Below are 24,024 nucleotides of genomic sequence, written 5' to 3' on the forward strand. Positions count from 1 at the left end.
AGTAGAGATGGGGTTTCACCGTGTTAGCCAGGATGGTCTCGATCTCCTGACCTTCTGATCCACCCACCTTGGCCTCCCAAAGTGCTGGGATTACAAGCGTGAGCCATCACGCCCAGCCGTGTACATGTACTTCTCTAAGGAGGATGCTGAGCAGTGGAATTGTTGGGTCAAAGAGCATACACACACACACACACACACACACACACACACACACACACACACACACATATATACACATATATACACACATATATATAAGATTATATACTGTATTTTTACTGTCCCTTTTCTATGACTAGATATGCTTAGATACAAAAGTACTTACCATTGTATTACAATTGCTTACAGTATTCAGTGCAGTCTCATGTTTTACAGGTTTGTAGCCTAGGAGCAACAGGCTATGTCATATAGCCTAGGTATGTAGTTAGCTATACCATCTAGGTTCGTGTAAATACACCGTATAATGTTTGCACAATAATGAAATCACTTAATAAGGCATTTCTCAGAACATATTCCTGTTGTTAAGCAATGCATGACAGTAATTTAAAATCTTGTAGTAATCACATTTTAAAAAGGGAAAAGAGAGGTGAAATTAATTTTCTTAATATATTTACTTAAGCCAATATATGTAAAACATTGTCATATGAATATGTAACCAATATAAAAATTACTAATGAGATATTTTCTTTTTTTAAAAAAATAAGTTTTCAAAATCTCGTATGTATCTTATACTCATGATACACCTCAATTCAAACATTGGATTTTATGAGAGATACTGACCTATATATGTTTAGCATCCCAAATCCAAAATTTTTAAGTGCTGACATGATGCTCAAAGGAAATGCCCCTTGGAGCATTTTGGATTTTTGGATTAGGGATGATAAGTAAGTATAAAGCAAATATTCCAAAATTCAAAACAATTAAAAATCTGAAATACGTCTTGTTCCAAGCATTTTGGATAAGGGATACTCAACCTGTATTTAGATTTGATAAGATTTTCAGTTGAAAAAGTAAACTTACAAAATTGTTCCAAACATACTTAAAAGCTTTTCAGTAGTCAAACTGAGCATCAGTTTTTATAATTAAAATTAATGAAAATCAAATAAATAAAAATGCATTTCCTCAGTTGTACTAGCTGCATTTAGTGTTTAATAGCCACCTGTGGCTAGTGGCTACTGTTTAGACAGCACAGGCCTAAAACGATTGTATTGGTTTATCCACCCTGTCTAGCAATGCATGAAAATACCTGTTTCCAGCTTCATCCACGTCCCTACAAAGGACATGAACTCATCATTTTTTATGGCTGCATAGTATTCCATGGTGTATATGTGCCACATTTTCTTAATCCAGTCTATCATAGTTGGACATTTGGGCTGGTTCCAAGTCTTTGCTATTGTGAGTAGTGCCACGATAAACATACGTGTGCATGTGTCTTTACAGCAATATGATTTATACTCCTTTGGGTATATACCCAGTAATGGGATGGCTGGGTCAAATGGTATTTCTAGTTCTAGATCCCTGGCAAGGACAAAAAACCAAACACCACATGTTCTCACTCATAGGTGGGAATTGAACATTGAGAACACTTGGACACAGGAAGGGGAATATCACACACCGGGGCCTGTTGTGGGGCAGGTTGGGGTAGGGTGGAGGGATAGCATTAGGAGATATACCTAATGTAAACGACGAGTTAATGGGTGCAGCACACCAACATGGCACATGTATACATATGTAACAAACCTGCACGTCGTGCACATGTACCCTAGAACTTAAAGTATAATAAATATATATATAAATAAATTTTTAAAAAAAGAAAATACCTGTTTCTCCCCATCTCCACCTACACATGATATTGTACAATTCTTCCTGTACTTTCTGCTGTGGCATTATTACTGTAATTAAATAATTAGTTTTGTAAATATATATTTAATGTCCATCTCTCCCACTGGACTTTAAGGGCAGGTATGTTGTTCACTACAATATCCCCTATTGCTTTCTCTTTTTTTGAGACAGGGTCTCACTTTGTCCAGGCTGGAGTGCAGTGGCACAATCATGGATCACTGCAACCTTGACCTCCAGGGCTCCAGTGATCCTCCCACCTCAGCCTCCCATGTCACTGGGACTACAGGTGTGCACCATCATGCCCAGCTAATTTTTTGTATTTTTGGTAGAGATGGGTTTTCGTCATGTTGCCCAGGCTGGTCTCAAACTCCTGAGCTCAAGTGATCCTCCCACCTCGGCCTCCCAAAGGGTTGGGATTACACGTGTGAGCCACTGAGCCCAGCCTAATATCCCCTGTTCCTAGGACAAGGCTTGATATGTAGCAGGTGCTCAATAAATACTTGTTGAATGGCTAACTTTATACAGATCAGAGCATTAGCCAGAAACTTTCCCTAAGTCACCATCTCTCTTCCTCCTTGTCAAAACATCTTGGTTTTGGGCTGGGCGTGGTGGCTCACGCCTGTAATCCCAGCACTTTGGGAGGCCAAAGGCGGCCGATCACTAGGTCAGGAGATCGAGACCATCCTGGCTAACACGGTGAAACCCCGTCTCTACTAAAAATACAAAAAAAAATTAGCCGGGCGTGGTGGCGGGTGCCTGTAGTCCCAGCTACTTGGGAGGCTGAGGCAGGAGAATGGCATGAACCTGGAGGCAGAGCTTGCAGTGAGCCGAGATCGCGCCACTGCACTCCAGCCTAGGCAACAGAGCAAGACTCCGTCTCAAAAAAAAAAAAAACACAAAAAACAAAAAACCTCTTGGTTTTATAGAATATTATCATTGACAGCAGGGGAATGATCACCCCAAAGGGTTGGAGTAGCAGGGAATTATCACTGGATGGGTAAAATCTTTAACAATTGGGGCAAATTGTGAATCACAGTCACAGAGAACCCCTTAGAAGAGCTTGACTCTCCCTTGACCTTTAAGACTGAGCTCCAGATGGACAAAGCTATCCTCTCCTTATACTGCCTTTGGGGCTTTTGCTGGAGACTATGGCAGAGATTGTCAGTTGCTGTCTGAACTTCCAATTCACTTTCTTCCCTGAACATTCCTGATTTTATTGGGAACGACAAACTTGTTTGGTTGGAAAACTAGTTTTCCAGTCTCCCTTGCTAATAAATGTGGCCATATAATTAAGTTCTGTCCATTGTTGGTTAGGCAGGATCTTATTAGGGTAGAGCTTCAGAAAAACTCATTAAAAAAGAAGACTGACTCAGCTTTTAAGAACGCCTTTACCCTCGTCTCTTCCTCCTTTTAGCTGCCTGAAACATGATGATTTGATGGCTGGAACCGCAGTGGCCATATTGAGCCATGAGGCAAACTTGAGAATAGAAACCAGAGCTAAGGACAGCAGAACAGAAAAAGATAAGAAGGCTGGATTCTGATGAAATCGTGGGGCTTCCATAGAATTCCTCCACTGTTTCCTTTGAGCTTCTTATAAGAGGCAAAATGCTCTTCTTTTTACTTACTTTGAAAAATTGTAGTTTACATAATCAACTTTTAGAAATTCAAGAGACTCAGAACCGCTTAAATCTGGGAGTTTCTTTTCTTTTAGCATTTGCTCAATCATCTTCATTCCAGCTTGAACACCTGTGAAGGAAACAAGAAAGAATCTGTTGATAATGACAAAGATAATAATAGCATAATAACATTAACCACACAAATACAATTTATTGAGTGAGACATGCCCTTAGATACTTAGAAAATGGCAACCCCACAAAGTGGGTATTATTGTCTCTGGTTTACAGATGAAAACTCTGGTTCTCAGAGAGGCTAAGGAACTTGTCCAAGACCACAGAGCTAACATGAGACATTTTCATTACGTCAGGAGGACTAAAGAGTTTTATCACAGAACAGTGTGAGAAGAAAAGTATAACATTTTCTTCAGGTCAGGAGCAGTAGCTCATGCCTGTAATCCCAGCACTTTGGGAGGTTGAGGCGGGAGGATCGCTTGAGCCAAGGAGTTTGAAACCAGTCTGGGAAACATTGAGATCCTGTCTCTACAAAAACAAACAACAACAACAACAACAAAAAAAAAAATTAAAAAATTAGCTGGGCATAATGGTGCATGTCTATAGTACCAGTGACTCAGGATGCTGAGTTGGAAGGATTGCTTAGGTCCTGGAGGTCGAGGCTGCAGTAAGCCATGATTGCACCATTGTACTCTAACCTGGGCAGTAGAGTAAGACCCTGAGCCTCAGAGAAGTTCACTGTTGCCCAAATCATACAGCTAAGAACTAGGGGAGCCAGTGGTCAAATTCAGACACTTCGGCTCCAGAATCTGTGTGCTATGGACAGTTCCAGAAGGTTATTCCACACTCTTTTTTCCTTTCAGATTCTTTAAGCTCAAGAATTTTTGGCCTGTGGTTCTTGGGCTGTAGGAAACTCCTGAACTACATGAAATTCTAATAAAAAACTGTGGGTGAGTCGTGTGTGCATATGTGTCTCGTTTTTGAAGGGAGAGAATCTACATTTTGACCAGATTGTCAAAGGATCCTGATATTTTTAAAAACTTAATAACGACTGCTTTTGTTTCATCCTGGAATAACTCATCAGCTTCTTTATATGGAAGCATCACACGACACATTTCTCTGAGCTCATTGGGGAAAAGAGACCTCTCCCACATTAAAGAGCTTGAGAAAAGTAACCTCCATAGTTAATGAAGAACATTTACTTTCACCCTTTTCAAGGAGGAAATATTGCCTTTATCCCCTTATTTTGCAGTTTAAGTTCCTTTCCAGTTATCCTATCCTTGTTGGGGATGAAGAAGAGCAGGTTTTATCCTCTAAAATGCCAGAAAAAAATATTGCAATATGGTGATGCAAAGACAGATATAAAGGATGTGAAGATAGAGCCAGAGGCACTACCAGAGAGCTTAGGTTTGAATCCCAACTTTGCCACTGAATAGCTTGTGTGACTCTGCAAGTTACATAGCTTCTCTGTCTCTTACTTTCTTCATCTATGACAATAGTAACCTTGGAGGGGTCTGTTCACACATGTGAAAATGACAGTAGCTGATACTTGTTGGGCCATATTTGCTATGGCCAGACAGCATTCTAAGCGCTTTACGTATGTTAATTCATTTATTTTCCACAACAATCCTATGGGTAGGTACTATAATTTTCATTTTCATCTCCATTTTTTTTTTTTTTTTTTGAGACAGAGTCTCGCTCTGTCACCAGGCTGGAGTGTAGTGGTGCGATCTCAGCTCACTGCAACCTCTGCCTCCTGGGTTCAAGTGATTCTCCTGCCTCAGCCTCCCAAGTAGCTGGGACTACAGGCGCATGCCACAATGCCCAGTTAATTTTTGTATTTTTAGTAGAGATCGGGTTTCACCATGTTGACCTGGATGGTCTCGATCTCTTGACCTCGTGATCCTCCTGCCTCGGCCTCCCAAAGCGTTGGGATTACAGGTATGAGCCACCACGCCTGGCCTTCCATTTAAAAAAATATCTTGCAGATATTACTAATAACAGACACATCAGATCTCTTACTAGAAAATGTGGAGGCATAAATCATTGATAAAATTTTAAAAATACCTAATTTGTATTGAGTGCCTGTCTATGCTAGGACTCCACATACGTTCTCTCCTCTCTTCTTGGATCCTCACAGCAACCCAGTGACGAGGTGTTATTATCCTTGTTTCACAAAGGAGGCAGCTGAGGCTCAGGGAGGTTCAGTAACTTGCCCGAGAGCCCACAGCTAGTGAGCAGCATTATCCAGAGCTTGGAGGAACAGGGAGTAGATGATAGAGTGCAGGTTTCAAGCTCCGGCAGCACAGACCTGAATTCATATTTGCCTGAGTCCCTTACTGCTGTGAGACTTGGGAAATGTCATATTCCTCCTCTATAAAATGACAACAGCTTATTTGTAGGGTTGTTGGTGGAATTAGATCAACACACAGCCCAGAAAGCACATTCAAAGAGGCCGGCCATGGTAGATGCTCAAGAAATGATTCTGAATTCAAAGGCTGCCCTTCTCCACTAGCCCATGCTATATTTCCTGTGGGTGGGATTATAGCCCATGGATGATCCCGTTTGATCCTCACCTCACACTAAGTGTAGGTAGGTAGGCACCATTTTTATCATCCCATTTTCCATATGAGAAAATCCACTGGCCCAAGGCCATGTATCAAGGAAAGCAACAGAACTGACATTTACAGCCATGTGGATAGACTTCAGATCTGTTCTTTTAATGACTCTGCTCCAGAAGGTGAAGAAAAGAACTGCACAACTTTAATACTGTTACAAGATATCTGTTTCTGATATGTATTTCTTTGCACATCAGCACATCAGTATAGTAACAAGATACACACACATGCATATACACATACATATATTCCTGGTACGTATTTCTACACACACCATTGTCCACATAACATTTGTGCAAGATGGCTCAATTTTAGATCTCCTGCACTAGATGATGTACTAGCAGAAAAACAAGGAGTTGTCTCTAAATCCTTCTTTCTTCCCTCTCTCCCTCCCTCCCTCCTTCCCTCCCTCCCTCAATCCTTCTTTCTTTCTTTCTTCCCTCCCTCCCTCCCTCCCTTCCCTCATTTATTTATTTTATTTTTTCTGGTATAGTAGAAGAAGCATTTCTTAGTTAGGCTTAGTTAGGTATTTCTTGGTTAGACTAGCAGTGCTTAGGTTGACTGCTTTAGTTAAAGAGGACTGAGAAAGCTCCATCATCAACCTACCCTTAGCTAATCTCAAGTAAAATTTCACAGGAGAAAACAGGTCCATATACTTTGATTTTTGCAGTCCATTCCCTCTCCACAATCTGCTCCCACCTCATCTTAGCCCAAGGAAAATCACATCCCAACGTTTGTCTCTCCCTAGTGTTTATAAATGTTCTCTAAAGGAGTGGCTTTTAACCTTTCAGTGTTTCAGACTCCTTCCCACATCCAATAAATATGAAGGAGCCTCTCCTCAGAAAAATGCAGTCACCCATATTACATTTTAACCCAATTTTAGGGGATTCTAAGTCCCTTTTGAAACCAAGCCCTTTCTGAAGCCCCAAGGTGTTACTTTTACTTTCAAATTTCCTTTCCTGTATCCTACAAATGTGTCTTATTTGGAACCCTCAGATGTTCATTATGTGTATATATGGGAAAGAGAGAGAGACAATGAGAATCTGTGCTGTGTTTGGACATGCCTCCCATCAAGTTGACTATTTTTTAGGCAACGCTTTCTTCGCAGCCATCTTAGCAGTTTCTGCATAAGGTACTGGATCACCCCACAGTACGGCGTTTCTCAGTCAGGAGACAGCCCATGTTATGAGCTGTTCAGTTTGGGTCACAGACCCCACCTAGTGGGCCTGAGGTCTGGCTTCTGAAAACATCCAACTCACCATAGTCAAGTGCCCTCTGAGTAATCCTTGCCTTGATTCCAGGGTAAATGGTCTGAGAGGATGAGACATAGAGATTCCACAGGAGGAAACATCCCCAGAGGACTGGGATTGTCTTTGTACACATCTGAAATTAACCAACAGTTAAGGTTCCTTTATTATTCTTGACTTTCTCTTTGGTCAATTAAATCCAACATTTCTAGATTTTCTCATTTTTACTGTTTACTTCCAGAACTCAATACATCCATCCAATCCATCCATTCATCCATCCATCCATCCATCCATCCAACCATCCATCCGTCCATCCATCCATCCATCCATCCATCCATCCATCCATCCATGCGCTCTCCCACCCATCCATCCATTCATTCAGCAATCATTTATTGAACACACCAGCATGTGTTCTAGGTGCTAAGGGTGTAGTGTTGACCTACACATGGCCCCTGACCTATGTTTTTCACAGACTAGTAGTGAATATGCATCCTTCAGGGCCAGCTCCATGTCCCTCTCTGTGAAAACTTCCCTCACCAAGTCATTTTACCCTGGGCTCATCACATTCTACTCTGGGATCCCACCACACTTTACACAGTGCATATGCGTCCATTAGAACATCTGATACACGATGTTGTCTGTTTGCAGGCAGGACTTCTCCTCTTACCCTGGTTCAAGCCAGTACCATTTCACATAGATTTTTGTGATAGCCTCCTTACTGGTCTCTCTGCTTCGGCCATTGCTCCTTTCTGGCCATTCTCCACACCACAGCCAGAGTGAGCCTCTTAAAATGAAAGTTAGATCATGTTACTCCCCACCCCCATTAAAGCCCTTCAGTGGTTCCCCTTCTTACTCAGTGTAAACGCCGAAGTCATTTTATCAGCTACAAGGTGTAGAGGGCCTTGTAGCTGATGGAATGACCCTATGCCTCCACTTCCTCATTGACCTCTGTCCTTAACACACACACCTGGCTCTCATGATCCCAGCATCACTGGCTAACTTGATCTTTCTTTAATGATCTAAGTAGCCTGTACACCAGGATCTTTGTATTTGCTGTTTCCTCTTCCTGGCATAGTCTTCCTCAAAGAACCCGGTCTTGCACTTCTTCAGATAACTCAAATGTCGTCTCAGCAAAGTCTTTCCTAGCCACTCAATGCAGAACATGGACACCTTCCCTGTGGCCCTGTTATTATGACTCCACCATTGCTTTATTTTCTCCAAAGCACTTATCATCATCTAGTGTAGTATCCAGTTACTGATGTGTGTATTGTCTATCTCCTCTGCTGGAATTTTTAGGCTTCATGGGGAAGGACTTCATCACTTCAGCACCTTGAATAGTGACTGGCACACAGCAGGCATTAGGGAACTACTGAATGGCAGATGGAATGAATGAATGAATGAAGTCTCTTTCACAAGCTGTGAATTGGGCCATGTGTGCCTTATGGGTTCTCCAGCACCTGGGGAAGCCCTTAATCTTAGTATACACCATCCCGTATTGTGACTGTCTTTTTACTTGTCTATCCCTTTGTCATGGGGATTGTGTCTTACTTCTATAACTCTGGAGTCCAGTACAATACCTGGCACATAGTAGGCACACAACAGATTTTTGATGAAATAAACATTCTCTGCAAAGAGTGGGACCACATCTTACTCACTGTTATATCACCCATACTTGGCATACATGAATGATTAACGTATGCTTGTTGAATTAATAGACCAAACAAATTAATGGCATCCCATTTTCTTGATAGATGAAGCACAGGTCCCAAAAGCAGCAGTAATTTGGGTTTCTTTTAATGAAAATCAAGTGAGTAATATATTCACAGGCCTTCTTTCTAGTTTGGAAGTTACAATCTGGGTGAGCTATCACTGCTGCACTTACACATGCAAAAGACTCACAGGTGGCAGGTACCACTGCGCTAACACACAAACATGAAACAAATCAAGGAAGGCCCAGGAAGGTGACCTTGTGGATGTGGTCAGAGAGGAAGAAGTAAGCCAGGTGTGGTGGCTCATACCTATAATACCAGCACTTTGGGAGGCCAAGGCAGGAGGACTGCTTGAGCCCAGGAGTTTGAGACCAGCCTGTGGAACATGGCAGGACCCCATCTCTACAAAAAATAAAAAATAAGGCTGGGCACGGTGGCTCATGCCTGTAATCCCAGCACTTTGGGAGGCCGAGGCGGGTGGATCACGAGGTCAGGAGATTGAGACCATCCTGGCTAACGTGGTGAAATCCCATCTCTACTAAAAATACAAAAAATTAGCTGGGTGTGGTGGCGGGCGCTTGTAGTCCCAGCTACTCGGGACGCTGAGGCAGGAGAATGGCATGAATCCGGGAGGCGGAGCTTGCAGTGAGCCGAGATCATGCCACTGCACTCCAGCCTGGGCGACAGAGTGAGACTCCATTTCCAAAAATAAAAAATAAAAATTAAAAAAAAAACTAAAAAATTAGCTGAGGATGGTGGTACACACCTGTAATCCCAGCAACTTGGGAGGCTGAGATGGGAGAATTGCTTGAGCCTGGGAGGTGGAGGCTGCAGTGAGCTGTGATCATGCCACTGCACTCCAGCTTGGGCAACGGAGCAAGATCCTGTCTCAAAATAAAATAAAATAAAATAAAAAAAGAGGAAACTGTGAGAGCCATGTGTTTAGATAGAGGGAGGGGTCAGGCCAGGTGGTCAGGTAAGGATTCAGAGATGAGTAGGATTCAGAAGCAGCCTGGGTGAAGGAAAAGAGGTCACTGTAAGAGGTGGAGCCCTTGGCCGAAGTAGGTGAGAGGTTTGATTAAGGGGGGTGAGTAGGCTTTAAGGTGAGGCCATGGAGGTGGGAATGGGGCAATGTATATAAAGGGACTTCTAGAGAATTTGCTTGAAAAGAACAGAGCAGTCTGATTAGGGATGGAAGTGTCCAGGCAAGGCCACTGCTAGCCTATCTTGGGCTTTTGTGTGAAATGGGAAAAGGCGCCCCTCTGGAGAGATGCCAGCCTCTTGGCACAAAGTGGAGCCAGTGGAAAGCATTTTAGGAAAACCCCACACCAGTGTACGCAGCTGGGTGGGAGGTGGAAGGGCTATCCTATGTATCCATTGGGCTGGAATTTTGTCTAGTGCACAAACTCCCCAACTTACACAGGGGGCCTGTGCTCAGATTAGTGAATGCTTATGTGGGTATTTTGCTGGAGGCCAAAGGTTTAGAAATAAGGTCTTCACCTGTCTGTGGGTAAGTTCATCTTCAGGTCTGAGAAGGCTGGCTGGGTCAACCTGCTTACATCTCTCACCTGATCTCCTAGGAGCCCCCTCTATACCCCACCATCCAGCCAAACTGAACTACTGGTCCCTAAACACATGCCACGTTTTCTGCCTAATGCTATTGCCTATGTTTTTCCCCTCTGCCTATGCCTGCAGAAACCGTGCATATCCCTAAGGCCCATTTAAAGCACCATCTTCTTTCTAAAGCCATTTATGACTTCCCTGAGTTAATTTCATTTCCTTTTAACCCTTGATCAAAATACATATTTATTCATGCGTGTATGTTTCTTTTCTGGCTTATGATTTGCCTTCCCTACCAGAATATAAGTGCCTGAAGGCAGAGACTGCAACTGGTTTGGAGGTCCTAGGTCTGGCTCAGTGCCTGGGATAGAGTGAGTGACTGTTAAGTGTTGGTAGAATGAATCAATGGTAGAATGAATAAATGAAGGAATATCCCTTACCTTACTCTATCATGTATTACACTTCTTTACAGAGATGGTTAACAAAGTATTTGTGTACTAGTAAACTGCAGGCATCCATCGAAACAGATGTTGGCCACAGTCCTGGAGCAGGGGCCAGGAAGTTGAGTGCCAGATCATGGGGAGGACAGGGGATGTCTTACAGGAGGGGCCAGAGTAGTTGGGGGCACTGGGAATAGGAGGGGGACACTCAGAGTATTGGCTCCTTACCCTTAGCTATTAAGGCATTTTGGTATTTTACCACTGATATGGCCTTATGAATCCAGCATGATATTTCAGCCCTAAAGAGCTGGTTTGGGTTCTACAGGACAAGTTACAGAGGGAAACTGGGGAGCAGTGTTGGGAGCAGAGCTAAGAAAGGATGACTTGAGGGTGGTCAGGGTGCAGACAGCACTAAGGGAAGCACAGGGAAATGGGAGGGTTGAGAGCTGAGGGGAAGGGATTTGGGTAGGAGAGGAGGATCTCTGGCCAAGCAATGAGTGATCTGAAGGTTGGAGGAAATGTGGTGAGTGGGATAAGGGGGTGTAAAGCCCTCCATGTCCTGAGAGGCAGAGTGACAGTAACAGCATCTTAACACTCTGAATGGATGCATGTACCTCCTGCAGGAGCTAGATCCAGCTGATCTTCTGCTGTGCTGGGCCTTTCTTGATCCTTTAGTTGCCCTTGGAGGTTAGTCAAGGTGTCCTGGAAAGGGGGATAAGTAGAGATGAACTATGGGAGTGAGGAGAACACTTCTGGGACTCAGGTTAGTGGCTGCTGACCAACTGGTATAGGAGCATTTCCACATTTTAACATATGGCGAGGCCAAACTGAAAAGCAGTCTTGCTAATATCACTGCCGGCTAAAAATTGTAAATGGATGTGTTATGCCAAGACAGGCATTAGAGAGATTTTTGTTTTAAAAGAGCAAAAATAGGCCGGGCGTGGTGGCTCACGCCTATAATCCTGGCACCTTGGAAGGCCAAGGTGGGCGGATCATGAGGTCAAGAGATCAAGGCCATCCTGGCTAACATGGTGAAACTGTCTCTACTAAAAATACAAAAATTAACCAGGTGTGGTGGCGCACACCTGTAGTCCCAGCTATGTGGGAGGCTGAGGCAGGAGAATCACTTGAACCCAGGAGGCAGAGGTTGCAGTGAGCCAAGATTGTGCCACTGCACTCCAGTCTGGCGACAGAGCGAGACTCCATCTCAAAAAAAAAAAAAAAAAAAAAAGAAAAAAGAAAAAAAAGAAAAAAAAAAGAAAAATATTTTCATAGCAATGGAATGCAATGGGAAAGAATGTTAAGACCAAAATGTCTGTACCTATTAGACTGTGTGCAAATTAAGGCAGACATGATATCTCTCCCTGGCACATGGTAAGACCCAAATTAATATGTGCTAACTGATCAACTGACTGACTTAAAAGATTCCAGTCAACTAAGAAAGGTTCTACAAATGGTTAGAAAAAAAGGAAAAACCAAACTATCATATATAATATAGAGCTCTCCATTTCTATAGTGAAAAAAACATAATAAACCAGAGAAGAAATATTACTTGTGAATGGAATAACAACTAAAATAATAAATTTTTATTTCTTTACCCTTTACAAAACTCACAGTTCTTTGAAGTGGATGTTCTTATTATCTTACTCCCATTTTAGACACGTGGACATGGAGGCTTAGAGAATCTGATGACTCGTCCAAGATCCCACAGTAAGTAAGGCACCTGGGAACCCAACCTTGTTCTTCTGGTTCCTAATTCTAGTGTTGATGAATTTATTTTTATTGAATGACTCGATACATGCTAGGGTTTTCATTTTCATCTGGGAATTTTAAATAGGAGTTGCTTGACACCATTTTCCTTTTTGTTGTTGTTGTTTAAAAGTTACTCAATTTTTTTTATTACACTTTAAGTTCTAGGGTACATGTGCACAGAAAACCAAACACCATTTTCAAGGTGGAAAAATTCAATAAGCATCTAGAAACGTTCAAGCATCACAGTGCAAATCCCTTCTTATTTTCTTGGACACAACTGGAGTTTTAAATTCCCTGCCAGCAGTAAAACCTGTTTTCCCTTCTTGGTTAAAAAAAGTTTCTGAAGTGGTACACTTTGATGGAGATCCAGGAATCCAAAATTACAGGCAGGAAAACATATTTTTCCTCTAGAAATTTTATGAGTGAAAGAAATTACTGGGGTATGAAGGGGTGAATTGTACATAACTTTTCATTGAATTGTTCAGTTACGATGATAACTTATGGGCAGGGGAGGAAAGGAACCTTGTCAAGCAAGGTGATGACTACTAAAAGGTTAAGTAATTTGGCTGACAAGTGCAGGCAGGGCTAGTTGCCTGTTAAAAGGATCCAAGATCACTTAAAAACCCCACCAGCAAGTTATCTATTTTGTTGCTTCTGGGGAATTGCTTCTTTCCAAGATTCAAAATCTCAGTAGTCATTATTTTTCCATACAAATACACAGACAGAATAATACTCCTAAATTAAATGGTCCTTGTGTGAGTCATCCTGACAGCTAAGAAAATGCCAGTCCAATTTAGAAAACACCTGAAACTCACAGATGGTCCTACTACTACTGCTGCTTGGCAAGAGCTTTGACTGACTCTGGAAAAACCGATTAAGGGAGTAATGAATGAGTAAAATGTAGCCTTCAAAACAGAGGCGCAGGTTGAAAAATTAAGTTCAACAGGTTTAAAGAAGTCTAAACTAGAAGGGTATTCCGACATATTGGTTAAGACAAAATGACCGTACATAAGAAGTCTAAATCGACAGGTATGGAACGTGGGCAGAATATTTCAAGGGATCCACTCCTCACATCTAGTTTTATAGCAACATCTCTAATGACAAGGACCTTGAGAATTCATAGCATGTCTTTTCCCCAAAACTCTATGCCTAACACCAACAAGTTCAACAGTCCAGGCAAGTGGGTGGCTAGTTTTGCTCTGGCAGGATCTAGGTCACTGATGTGCTTTAAGACCTGCCTTGAAAGCACAGAGATTATAACAACTCCTTAGTCCTAACCATGCTGATTTTGAGAGACAAGATAGAATTTTCTGCCACTGTGCTGGGTTCCCCTCTGAAATGGAGGCAAAAATAAGTCCAGATCACTGAGCAACCCTCTTAACATTGTTCCATGATGCAAAACTAAGTAGGTGGTTTAAACCAACTCTTTTCTCTCTTATGGCTGTTTAGCTGTCACTAAAGCTTTTGCCTAAGAAGCCTCCAGGTGCGCATATGTGACATCACACAAACAAACAAACAAAGATACAGAAAAATCTAGGCAGACAATAATAATAACCCAGGATATATGACAGCTGCCTGTTCAAAGTGTCCTACCAAATCTGGGACATCTCCAGTTTGGAGATCATGGCTGGCAGAGACCTGAAGTTTGTTCATGAGTCTTACCTCAAGCAGAGGAAGTGTCCAAAGCTGGAGAGCACCTTCGATTCTCTCTGCCTTTGAAGCTGATGTGTTCTCCACCTTGCGCCTTAAACTCAGCTGCTAAAAAGCCAAGATAATTAAGTCTGACTCATCTCAGTGGTGAATTTTTTTAATGCCTCTTTCAAAATGTGATACATAATTGCTTCACTACAATTACCCAATGGCATGAATGAGCACTACAGTATCTACCTAGATAAACAGACAGTGCCACCTATGCAATAATTATCTTCCTGCAAAACACACACACACACACACACACACACACACACACACCACTTGTGAAATTGTGATGGCTACTTTACCAAAATGATTGAAAACGGTGTTAAACTGCATTGGAAGAGGAAGAATTTTCCTGTCTGGAATCATAAGCTGGTTCCTTCTGGTCAGGGTGCCTGCGGTGGATGGCTCTACTACTGCCCAGAATACCTTTGGGACTTGTGGTGGATCATCAGATTCAGTCTGAAAGCATGAGGCTTGACAATCGGGCTGACCTAGTTACCTTATCACTCAGGGTAGGACCTCAGTTGGCATCTCTCAGTGTCCGTCCGCTCCTTTTCAGAATGTTATTAATGACTTACTGTTCCAGCATTCCTTAAACCTAAGTTGGGTGGGTGGGTTCATCAACTATTATGCAACTTAACATTTTCAGATTCCAAACTCCAGCCCTACTCTCATCTCCAATAAATTCATTTTAGTTAATGTGTTTTATCTATTTTTATTTTTATTTATTTATTTTTTGAGATGGAGTCTCACTCTGTCACCCAGGCTGGAGTGCAGTGGAGCGATCTTGGCTCACTGCAACCTCCGCCCCCTGGGTTCAAACAATTCTCCTGCCTCAGCCTCCCTAGTAGCTGGGATTACAGGAGTGCGCTACCACGCCCAGCTAATTTTTTGTATTTTTAGTACAGACAGGGTTTCGCTGCATTGGCCAGGCTGGTCTCGAACTCCTGACCTCATGTGATTGATCCACCCGTGTTGGCTTCATAAGTGCTGGGATTACAGATGTGAGCCATCATACCCGGCCATTAATGTATTTTAGATGGCCAGGGATTTGATTGTATGAAGTTTTTTTTTTTGTTTTTTGGTTTTTTTTTTTTTGAGACAGTCTCACTGTCACCCAGGCTGGAGTGCAGTGGCATGATCTTGGCTCACTACAACCTCTGCCTCCAGGGTTTAAGCGATTCTTGTGCCTTAGCCCTCTGAGTAGCTGGAATTACAGGTGTGCACCACCAAACTTGGCTAATTTTTGTATTTTTAGTAGTGATGGGGTTTCACCATGTTGGCCAGGCTGGTCTTGAACTCTTGACCTCAAGTGATCCACCTGCCTTGGCCTCCCAAAGTCCTGGGATTACAGGCATGATCCACCGCACCCAGCCTGATTGCATGAAGTTCTTATGGCTTATCTACACTTTTCTGGGTAAGACCCGGTGACCAACTGTCCTGGTTTCCCAAGAATGCAGGATTTTCAGTACTAAAACCAGAACAGTCCTGGGAAAATCAGGATGATAAGTCAGTCTGAAAGGAACCACAGACGCTTTCACTTGGCATTGTCCATACTTCTCACAGCTTCTCAGGGGAGTTATACCTTGGGTTATACTTACTGATTTGAACTGAGTTTCCTTAAGGTAAAGTGGGGATAGAAATAGTAACTTCCTTGATTGGTTCTGGTGAAGAAAAACATAATAACACATGAGAATGCGCTATTAAAACTGTAAACTGCTGTGAAATTCTACTCATTAGCACGTGGCCGTATCAATAATGATACGGTGCAGAGACGCTCTTCATGGGATCATTTATTGTCGGTCATCATAGATGAATTCATTCATTCAATCAACAGATTTACTGAGCACCTACAATGTGCAAAGTCCTCTTCAGCAAAAAAGATGAAATTTTTGTCCACGAGGAGTTTATGTTCTAGTCGATGGAGACAAAATAAATAAGCAAACAATAAAATAAACAAAAATGTATAAATTGTGACATGTACTGTGACGGAACTAAGGGAATGTTGTTGGTAAGGTGGTCTTGTAATAGGTAGAGCAATGCAACTGGGGGAGGTGGGCTTATTTTATCAGGATACCCACGTGGGCGTCTCTGAGGAGGTGATTATTTGCGCTGAGATGTGACCGTTGGAAGCCAGGCAGGCAAAGTGCTGAAAGGAAAAGGTGGAGGGAACTGCAAAGGTGAGCCAGTTTGTCTGAAATGGAGTTGGGGCAGAAGTTATGGTATTCGAGATGTAAATGGTGATGTCAGGTGGGTAGAGTTCAGGGAAGAGGTCAACTGGAAATATGAATGTCTAAGTCATCATCCGAAAGGTGGAGTTAAAGCCACAGAAATGAATGAGATCATTGCAGGCAGCTTCCCACGTGCATGTGCTACTGAAAGTGTGGAAGATGAGTTCAGGCGCTATGCAGAGAAGCTCTTGAAATTGTACTGTGCATTAGAAAAAATACAGAGCTAGACATGGAAGACGAAGGACAACATGGAAGATGAAGGACAACATCAAAAGCACTATATGGAAAAAAAAAATCACAAAACACCTCTACATCTTTCTACCTTTTCCTCACTATTTTCCCCGGGTGGCAACATCAATTTCCTCCCCCGCCCCCTCTCTCCCTGTCCTTCTCCAGGGTCCGAGGTCTCCTCTTTCGTTTCTCTCCTCTCCAGAGCAGCTTCTTGGCTCCATCTTCTTCCCCTGCTCCCACCTTCACTGTCTGGCCCCTGCCCAGCCCATCCCCTGCTCATTCTCAATTCCTTTTCTCTGTTAGAAAGAAACCAACAATCGGCTGGGCGTGGTGGCTCACGCCTGTAATCCCAGCACTTTGGGAGGCCGAGGCGGGCAGATCACGAGGTCAAGAGATCAAGACCATCCTGGCTAACACAGTGAAACCCCGTCTCTACTAAAAACACAAAAAATTAGCCGGGCTTGGTGGTGGGCGCCTGTAGTCCCAGCTACTCAGGAGGCTGAGGCAGGAGAATGGGGTGAACCTGGGAGGCAGAGCTTGCAGTGAGCCAAGATCTCGCCACTGCACTTCAGCCTGGGCAACAGAGCGAGACTCCCTCTCAAAACAAACAAACAAACAAACAAACAAACAACCATAAAATAACAGTATCTTTCCATCTTTCCTGATGCAAATACTTTTTCTTCCTGTTACAAAAGACCTGAAAGTCTAACCACATCTTTGGTGAAAACCCCAGAATCATTGCTGTATATTCCAGGAGTCTGCCACAAGATAGAAGAGGGAGGTTGGCTTGAATGAGAATGGTGAGGAGAGACAGTGCAAGGTGTAGAGATTCGCCTTGCAGTCATGAGGGCTCTCGCCTCCCCTGGACCTGGACCTGCGCTACCCATTCCAACGCTGGGTCCTTGAACAATTTACTTCACTTCCAGGTCTCAGAGCCATCACCTCTAAAAGTGGAGCTCACATTTACTTTGAAGAGTCATTTTGAGAATGAAATTAGACGAGGCAGCACCTATGTTTTTCACACAGTGTCAATAAATTAGATGCATTTCATCTATTTTTATTTAAAGTTAATAATTACAAAGATATCTTAAACAAGGTTTGTTTTTAAGAAGTATACAAAGTTCAGTTTTCATGGTATTTACTTTTTACAGTTACCCTCTATTAGGAAATTTAAAAAGTTTCCCCTTTATATAACTTTTCCCTTTTAAATAAGATTATATACATTTTAAGAAGTGGGTTGATTTATGGGAAAAAAAAGTAAATAACAGTACAGCTCACATGGGACATAGAATACTTTTTTTTTTTTTTTTGAGATTTAGTCTCACTCTGTTGCCCAGGCTGGAGGGCAGTGGCACCAACTCGGCTCACTGCAACCTCCCGCTCCTGGGTTAAGCAATTCTCCTGCCTCAGCCTCCTGAGTAGCTGAGATTACAGGCGCCACCACCACGCCTGGCTAATTTTTGAATTTTTGGTACAGATGGGGTTTTGCCATGTTTGCCAGGCTGTTCTCGAATTCCTGACCTTGTGATCCACCCGACTCGGCCTCCCAAAGTGCTGGTATTACAGGCATGAGCCACCGTACCCAGCCTTAGGACATAGAATAATTTCTGAAAAAGGGGCTCAAATAATTAGAGTCTAGGAAACAAAGATCTAAGAAGAGAGTGTAGCTAGTCTGTTGTCTTTTATTTGGAAGAGGCCTTAGAAATCAGCTAATTAGCCTTCCTAATTAGCTGTTTAGGGCACATTTGCCAAATTCATCTTTAAAAACATCAACAACAAAAGCCAGCAGCACCCTATCCAGTTTCACTGTTTATTTTAGCTTTCCATATTTAACAGAAGATTTGCTGGGAATGCCTGCTTCTTCAGCCTACTCATGACGGCAATCTAAAATGCAAGATTAATTATTACACTGTCAAATAGCTGACAGTGTGTTTGTCTTTGCAGATCAGGGAACACTCTTAATTAAGACTCCAAAAGAAAAATCATAAATAACTGGCTAGAAATACTTGTTCATTAAAACGAGATGTCAAGAGATAGTGTTAGGGAACTGAGCATCCCTGTTCTTGGTTTCTAGAATGTCTGGGCTATAACCATATAGAAAGAGCTAACTAGGCCGGGCGCGGTGGCTCACACCTGTAATTCTAGCACTTTGGGAGGCTGAGGAGGGCAGCTCACGAGGTCAGGAGATGGAGACCATCCTGGCAAACACGGTGAAACCCTGTCTCTACTAAAAAAAAAAAAAAAATACATAAAATTAGCCGGGCATGGCGGCGTGTGCCTGTAGTCCCAGCTGCTGGGGAGGCTGAGGTAGGAGGATGGTGTGAACCCAGGAGGCAGAGCTTGCAGTGAGCCGAGATCACGCCACTGCACTCCAGCCTGGGCGACAGAGCGAGACTCTGTCTCAAAAAAAAGAAAAAAGAAAAAAAGAAAGAGCTAACTGAAGATCAAACATTTTTGAGATTGGAGGACAAATTATATTATTCTTGCTAGGAGACAAAAGTGGGAGGGAAGAGGGATTATGTGGATATGGAGGGAGGCGCCACATAGGGCAGTCTTGGGGCAAAAGACACTGTGAGTTCCAATCGCTCATTGCCCCCAATGTTTGCGTTGGTGAAATCTGGTTAAAAGGAAACCCTAAAGAAGGATACATAGGGTAGAGAAAAATAAGAGCTAACATTTATTGTTTGTTATGTTCTGGGCACCATCCATATATGAATTCACTAAATACTCATCAAGACTGTATAAAGAACTAATATTATTTCCATTCGCTAGGTGGGACAACTTGCCTAAGCTTAGACATTACAGCTAGTAAGTTGCGGAGCCAGGATTCAGGACCCAGGTGTTCCGTTTTCAAGGATATGCCTTTTTACCACTATACTATGCTGACTTTTTAGGAAGGTCACTAAAGGGCAACACACAACCCAGGGTACGCAGAAGGTGGCAAGAGAGAAGGATGCTGTTGCTAGGCAACCCATCTGGTTTTCTGAGCTGCTAATTGAATCTGTGTAGCGCAGATTTATGTGTTTGTTTGAAATAGCTAGTTTATTTCTAGCCAGAAGAAGCTGCCTGGAGTTCATGTGATTCTGAAGGTGATGAGTCATCTTACAGTTCATCCTGGGAGGGCTGGGGAGAAGTCTGGCAGAATCATCCTATCACCCAGCAGTAGCTCCTCCTCTTGTCCCTGCTCTGTCGCAGGCCACACTCCATTGATGTCTGTGTAATGATGTTTCTGGGTGGACATCAATGACTGACTCAGACTGTGACTTCTCACACCAGTCACGCTCTGGAACGGTTTAGAGCAGTGATGCTCTCTTGGTTTTGACAAATGAACCTACTCACGTCGGTTCCTTCCATTGTTACTAGTTATCTAGAAGGGAGTCACATTATCTTACTGCAGTTCAAAATGAACTTAAATTCATGCTAAAATTTAAATTCATATGTGACTTTTTGAGATATGAAGGGTATTATGGAACCAAACAAACAAGATAGTGTGATATTACTCTGAAACATCTGGGAATCGATGGTGTGAGCCCAATCCAAGTAGACCAGGATTTCCTTACTTTGGCCCTGCTGGCATTTTGAGCTACATAATTCTTGGTTGTAGGGGGCTGTCCTGTCTATACTAGAATGTTTAGCAGGCCAGGTGCGGGGGCTCATGCCTGTAATCCTAGCACTTTGGGAGGCCAAGGCGGGCAGATCACTTGAGGTCAGGAGTTCGAGACCACCCTGGCCAATGAAGTAAAACCTTGTCTCTACCACAAATACAAAAATTAGCTGGGCGTGGTGGCACACGCCTGTAATCTCAGCTACTTGGGAGGCTAAGGCGGGAGAATGGCTTGAACCCTGGAAGCGGAGGTTGCAGTGAGCTGAGATTGTGCCACCGCACTCCAGCCTGGCAACAGAGCAAGACTCCTTCTAAAAAATAAATAAATAAATAAATAATGTTTAGTAGCATCCCTACTATTAGATGCCAATAGCACCACAACCTCCTACCCTAGTTGTGACAAAATGTTTCTATACTATATCAAATATCTCCTGTCAGGCAAAGTCGCCACAGTTGAGAGCCACTGAAATATGGTATATTCAAGTATTCTGTTTAGCCCTTGCGGCAGAAAACAGCATTCCTCTCTATGATCAGATGCTGATATTCCTAATAACATTTTTCTTAACTATCCAATAAATATGTGAACACATTCTTGTGATAAAGGATTCAAATAATTACTGAAGTTTACAGATCAAATTGGGAAAATTACCGCACCCCCCGCCTCCAACTTTGTCCCTATCCCTCCCTCTTTTTATTTGTAATTTTTATTTTTCGAGATAGGGTCTCACTCTGTAACCCAAGCTGGAGTGCAGTGGTGTGATCACGGCTCACTGCAGCCTCAACCTCCCAGGCTCCAGCATTCTCCCACCTCAGCCTCCCTAGTTAGCTGGGACTGTAAGTGGGCACCACCATGCTTGGCAGATTTTAAAAAAATCTTCTACAGAGACAGAGCTGGTCTCTAATCCACTGGTTCTCAAGGTGGCATTTCCTCCCAGGGAATAGTTGGCATCTTTGGTTCTTACAACTGGGGAGGGAGACGGTTCTACTAGCATTTTGTGGATAGCGACCATGGATGCTGCTAAACATTCTACACACAGAACCGCCTCTTGCAACAAAGACTTAAGTGGTCCAAAATGTCAATAGTGCTGAGGCTGAGAAACCCTAATCTATCCCCCACATCCTATCATAATCCCTAGTGATAGATTCACATTACAGATCTGAGCCTGCCCTAGTAGTTAGTATACACCTGTCAGATTCAAGGCTTCCCACCATCTTTTGAATAGCCTTCCCTTTTTCGGGAGGAAATTCCAATATTCTACGTCTTGCCTCCCCGAGGAAGGAGTTCAGACCCCAATTCCCAGTCTCCTTTGTAGCCAGGACCCAGGTGTGGGGCCCAGACTTCCTCAATCAGACATCCCTATGAGCTTTTGATGTGGAAGTGAGCAAGGTGAAGAAACAGGCTCTTTTGGAAGTTTGGCATTATGCAGGAGGCTGCAAAAGCATGTGGGATTTGATGTTAACAGTGGCAGTGGCAGCCATTCCCCAGTGAATCCCAGCAGTTGTGATGGCGATTTCCTCCAGCAGCAATCCCAGTCTTAGTATTTTCCTCATCAGGCCAGTTTTCAGCTTGGTTCTGAGCTTCATTCTTGGAAGCTTAGCCTGGGGCCACTTCTCCATCCTCCCTAGAATTCCCTGAGCTGTACAGCATCCTTTTAATACACACCTTTTCTGCTTAGTCAGCCAGAGTCAGCTTCTACTGCTGAAAATTAAGAACCCTGATAGTAAAGACTCCCTGCTAAAAACTGTCTAGCGGCTTCCCATACATTCTAGAATATGTCCCAAACCCTGTGCTTAGCCCAAGGCTCTTCTTTATCTGGGATGTACCTATGCTGTCCATCACTCTGGTCACACAGAGTCATCCTGGTCCTGGCACCATTCCTCACTGCTCACTACTAAAGAATCCTACGGGCATGGCAAACCTCCTCTATGTACCCTCTTAAAACCAAAATGTATTCAAACACCCATGCTAACATTCTTAAATATCTGCTAGCCATAATAAAAAAATCAATGTACTTTACAATCTTAACTCCCACAATTTAGCCTAAATATTTGCCCTAACATATTTATACTAGTTCAAACAAACATTAAGTCATAGCCTATTCCTCTTCCTTAAAGGGGTGTTGACCTTTCTCAACATTCCACAAGTTACTTCCTCCTTGCTTTGTTCTCCTCTGCCTTTGCCTCTTTTAAAAAGTTCTAAATTACTAGCCAATCAAGACAAATACAAAATATAAAGTCCCATTCCAGCCAATAAAAACCAGACACAGGCCAGGCGCGGTGGCTCACGCCTGTAATCCCAGCACTTTGGGAGGCCGAGGCGGGCGGATCAGGTCAGGAGATCGAGACCATCCTGGCTAACACGGTGAAACCCCATCTCCACTAAAATAATAATAAAATAATAATAATAATAATAATAATAATAATAATAATAATAATACAAAAATTAGCCAGGTGTGGTGGCGGGTGCCTGTAGTCCCAGCTACTCGGGAGGCTGAGGCAGGAGAATGGCGTGAACCCAGGAGGCGGAGCTTGCAGTGAGCCGAGATCACGCCACTGCACTCCAGCCTGGGCGACAGAGCGCGACTCCATCTCAAACAACAACAACAACAAAAAAAAACAAAAACAAACAAAAAACCAGACACAGCAGTAAAGTGGACACATCAGGTTATATATGACCCTGTCTCCTTTGTTCGGTGTACTCTCGTGACAAAACTGCTGGCGAGTATACCCTTTCTACAAAAAATAAAAATGGCCTTGCTAAAAAAATTAAATTTATATTCAAGTGCTATTTCTTTACAACATCAAAAAACAAACATTTCTAACAATCCCATTCCTCAGGTCTGTATTTATGTCTATCATAAAGCAGAGACTTTTTACACTCTACTGAAAGAGCTGATTCACTCAACTGTAAACTTTGCATGGGCAGAAACATGTCTTTTTGGTCTCTTGAGTCTCCAGCATGTGGGGTATCTGTCACAAAGTAGGCAATCAATACATATTTATTTGCAGAATCAAGGGCAGGATGTGGACAAGTGCTGCCACCTATTGGGAGAAACTTTATTTGACTCTAAGGATTTGGACTATGGTTATCACACAAGGACGAAACTTGATACTCTCTCTCATCTAAGTTATCATTAGTTAGACCCTCTATGGTAGCCAGCCTCCAGGATGGCCCGCAGCGATCCCTGTCTGTTGGCATTCATACCTTTGGCTGGATCCTCTCACACATAGGGTTGGTTTGTAAATATGACAAAAGCCGTATGTGACCTCTGGAGCTAGGTCATAAAAGACATTGTGGCTTATACCTTGGTCTCTCTGGGATCACCTGCTCTGAAGGAAGCCAGCTGCCATGTCATGGGGACACTCAAACAGCCCTATGGGGAGGTTCACGTGGTGAAAACAGGTCTCTGGCCAACAGTCATGACTGTGCCATCCTGGAGGCCGATCCTCCAGCCCTAGTCAAT

The 24,024-nt window shown here is 43.0% G+C and overlaps 1 protein-coding gene across 5 annotated transcripts in view, besides 1 other annotated feature; it reads right to left on the reverse strand.

Annotated features, from left to right (window-relative positions):
• The window catches only part of BPIFC (BPI fold containing family C), a 50,602-nt gene extending 36,071 nt beyond the window's left edge, over positions 1-14,531 (reverse strand). For 2 of the 5 annotated variants that reach the window (XM_017028740.2, NM_174932.3), the window contains exons 1-4: positions 14,459-14,531; positions 11,659-11,746; positions 7,348-7,471; positions 3,468-3,588 (exon numbers count right to left, since the gene is read on the reverse strand). In XM_017028740.2, coding sequence (XP_016884229.1) covers positions 3,468-3,588; positions 7,348-7,471 — 245 coding nt within the window. In that variant the 5' untranslated portion in view covers positions 11,659-11,746; positions 14,459-14,531. Of the gene's footprint in view, positions 1-3,467; positions 3,589-7,347; positions 7,472-8,002; positions 8,120-9,810; positions 9,929-11,658; positions 11,747-14,458 lie in introns of those variants that run through there. The other 3 variants (XM_047441302.1, XM_011530089.2, XM_011530090.2) reach the window with 3 other exon arrangements.
• Positions 23,871-23,930: an enhancer, noted in NCBI's record as "active region_18877". NCBI's record gives its function as "activates an Ori minimal core promoter by ATAC-STARR-seq in GM12878 lymphoblastoid cells {active_cell/tissue: GM12878}" and the evidence as "EXISTENCE:reporter gene assay evidence [ECO:0000049][PMID:35858748]".

Source organism: Homo sapiens, chromosome 22 (genome assembly GCF_000001405.40).
Source record: "Homo sapiens chromosome 22, GRCh38.p14 Primary Assembly".
NCBI lineage: Eukaryota > Metazoa > Chordata > Mammalia > Primates > Hominidae > Homo > Homo sapiens.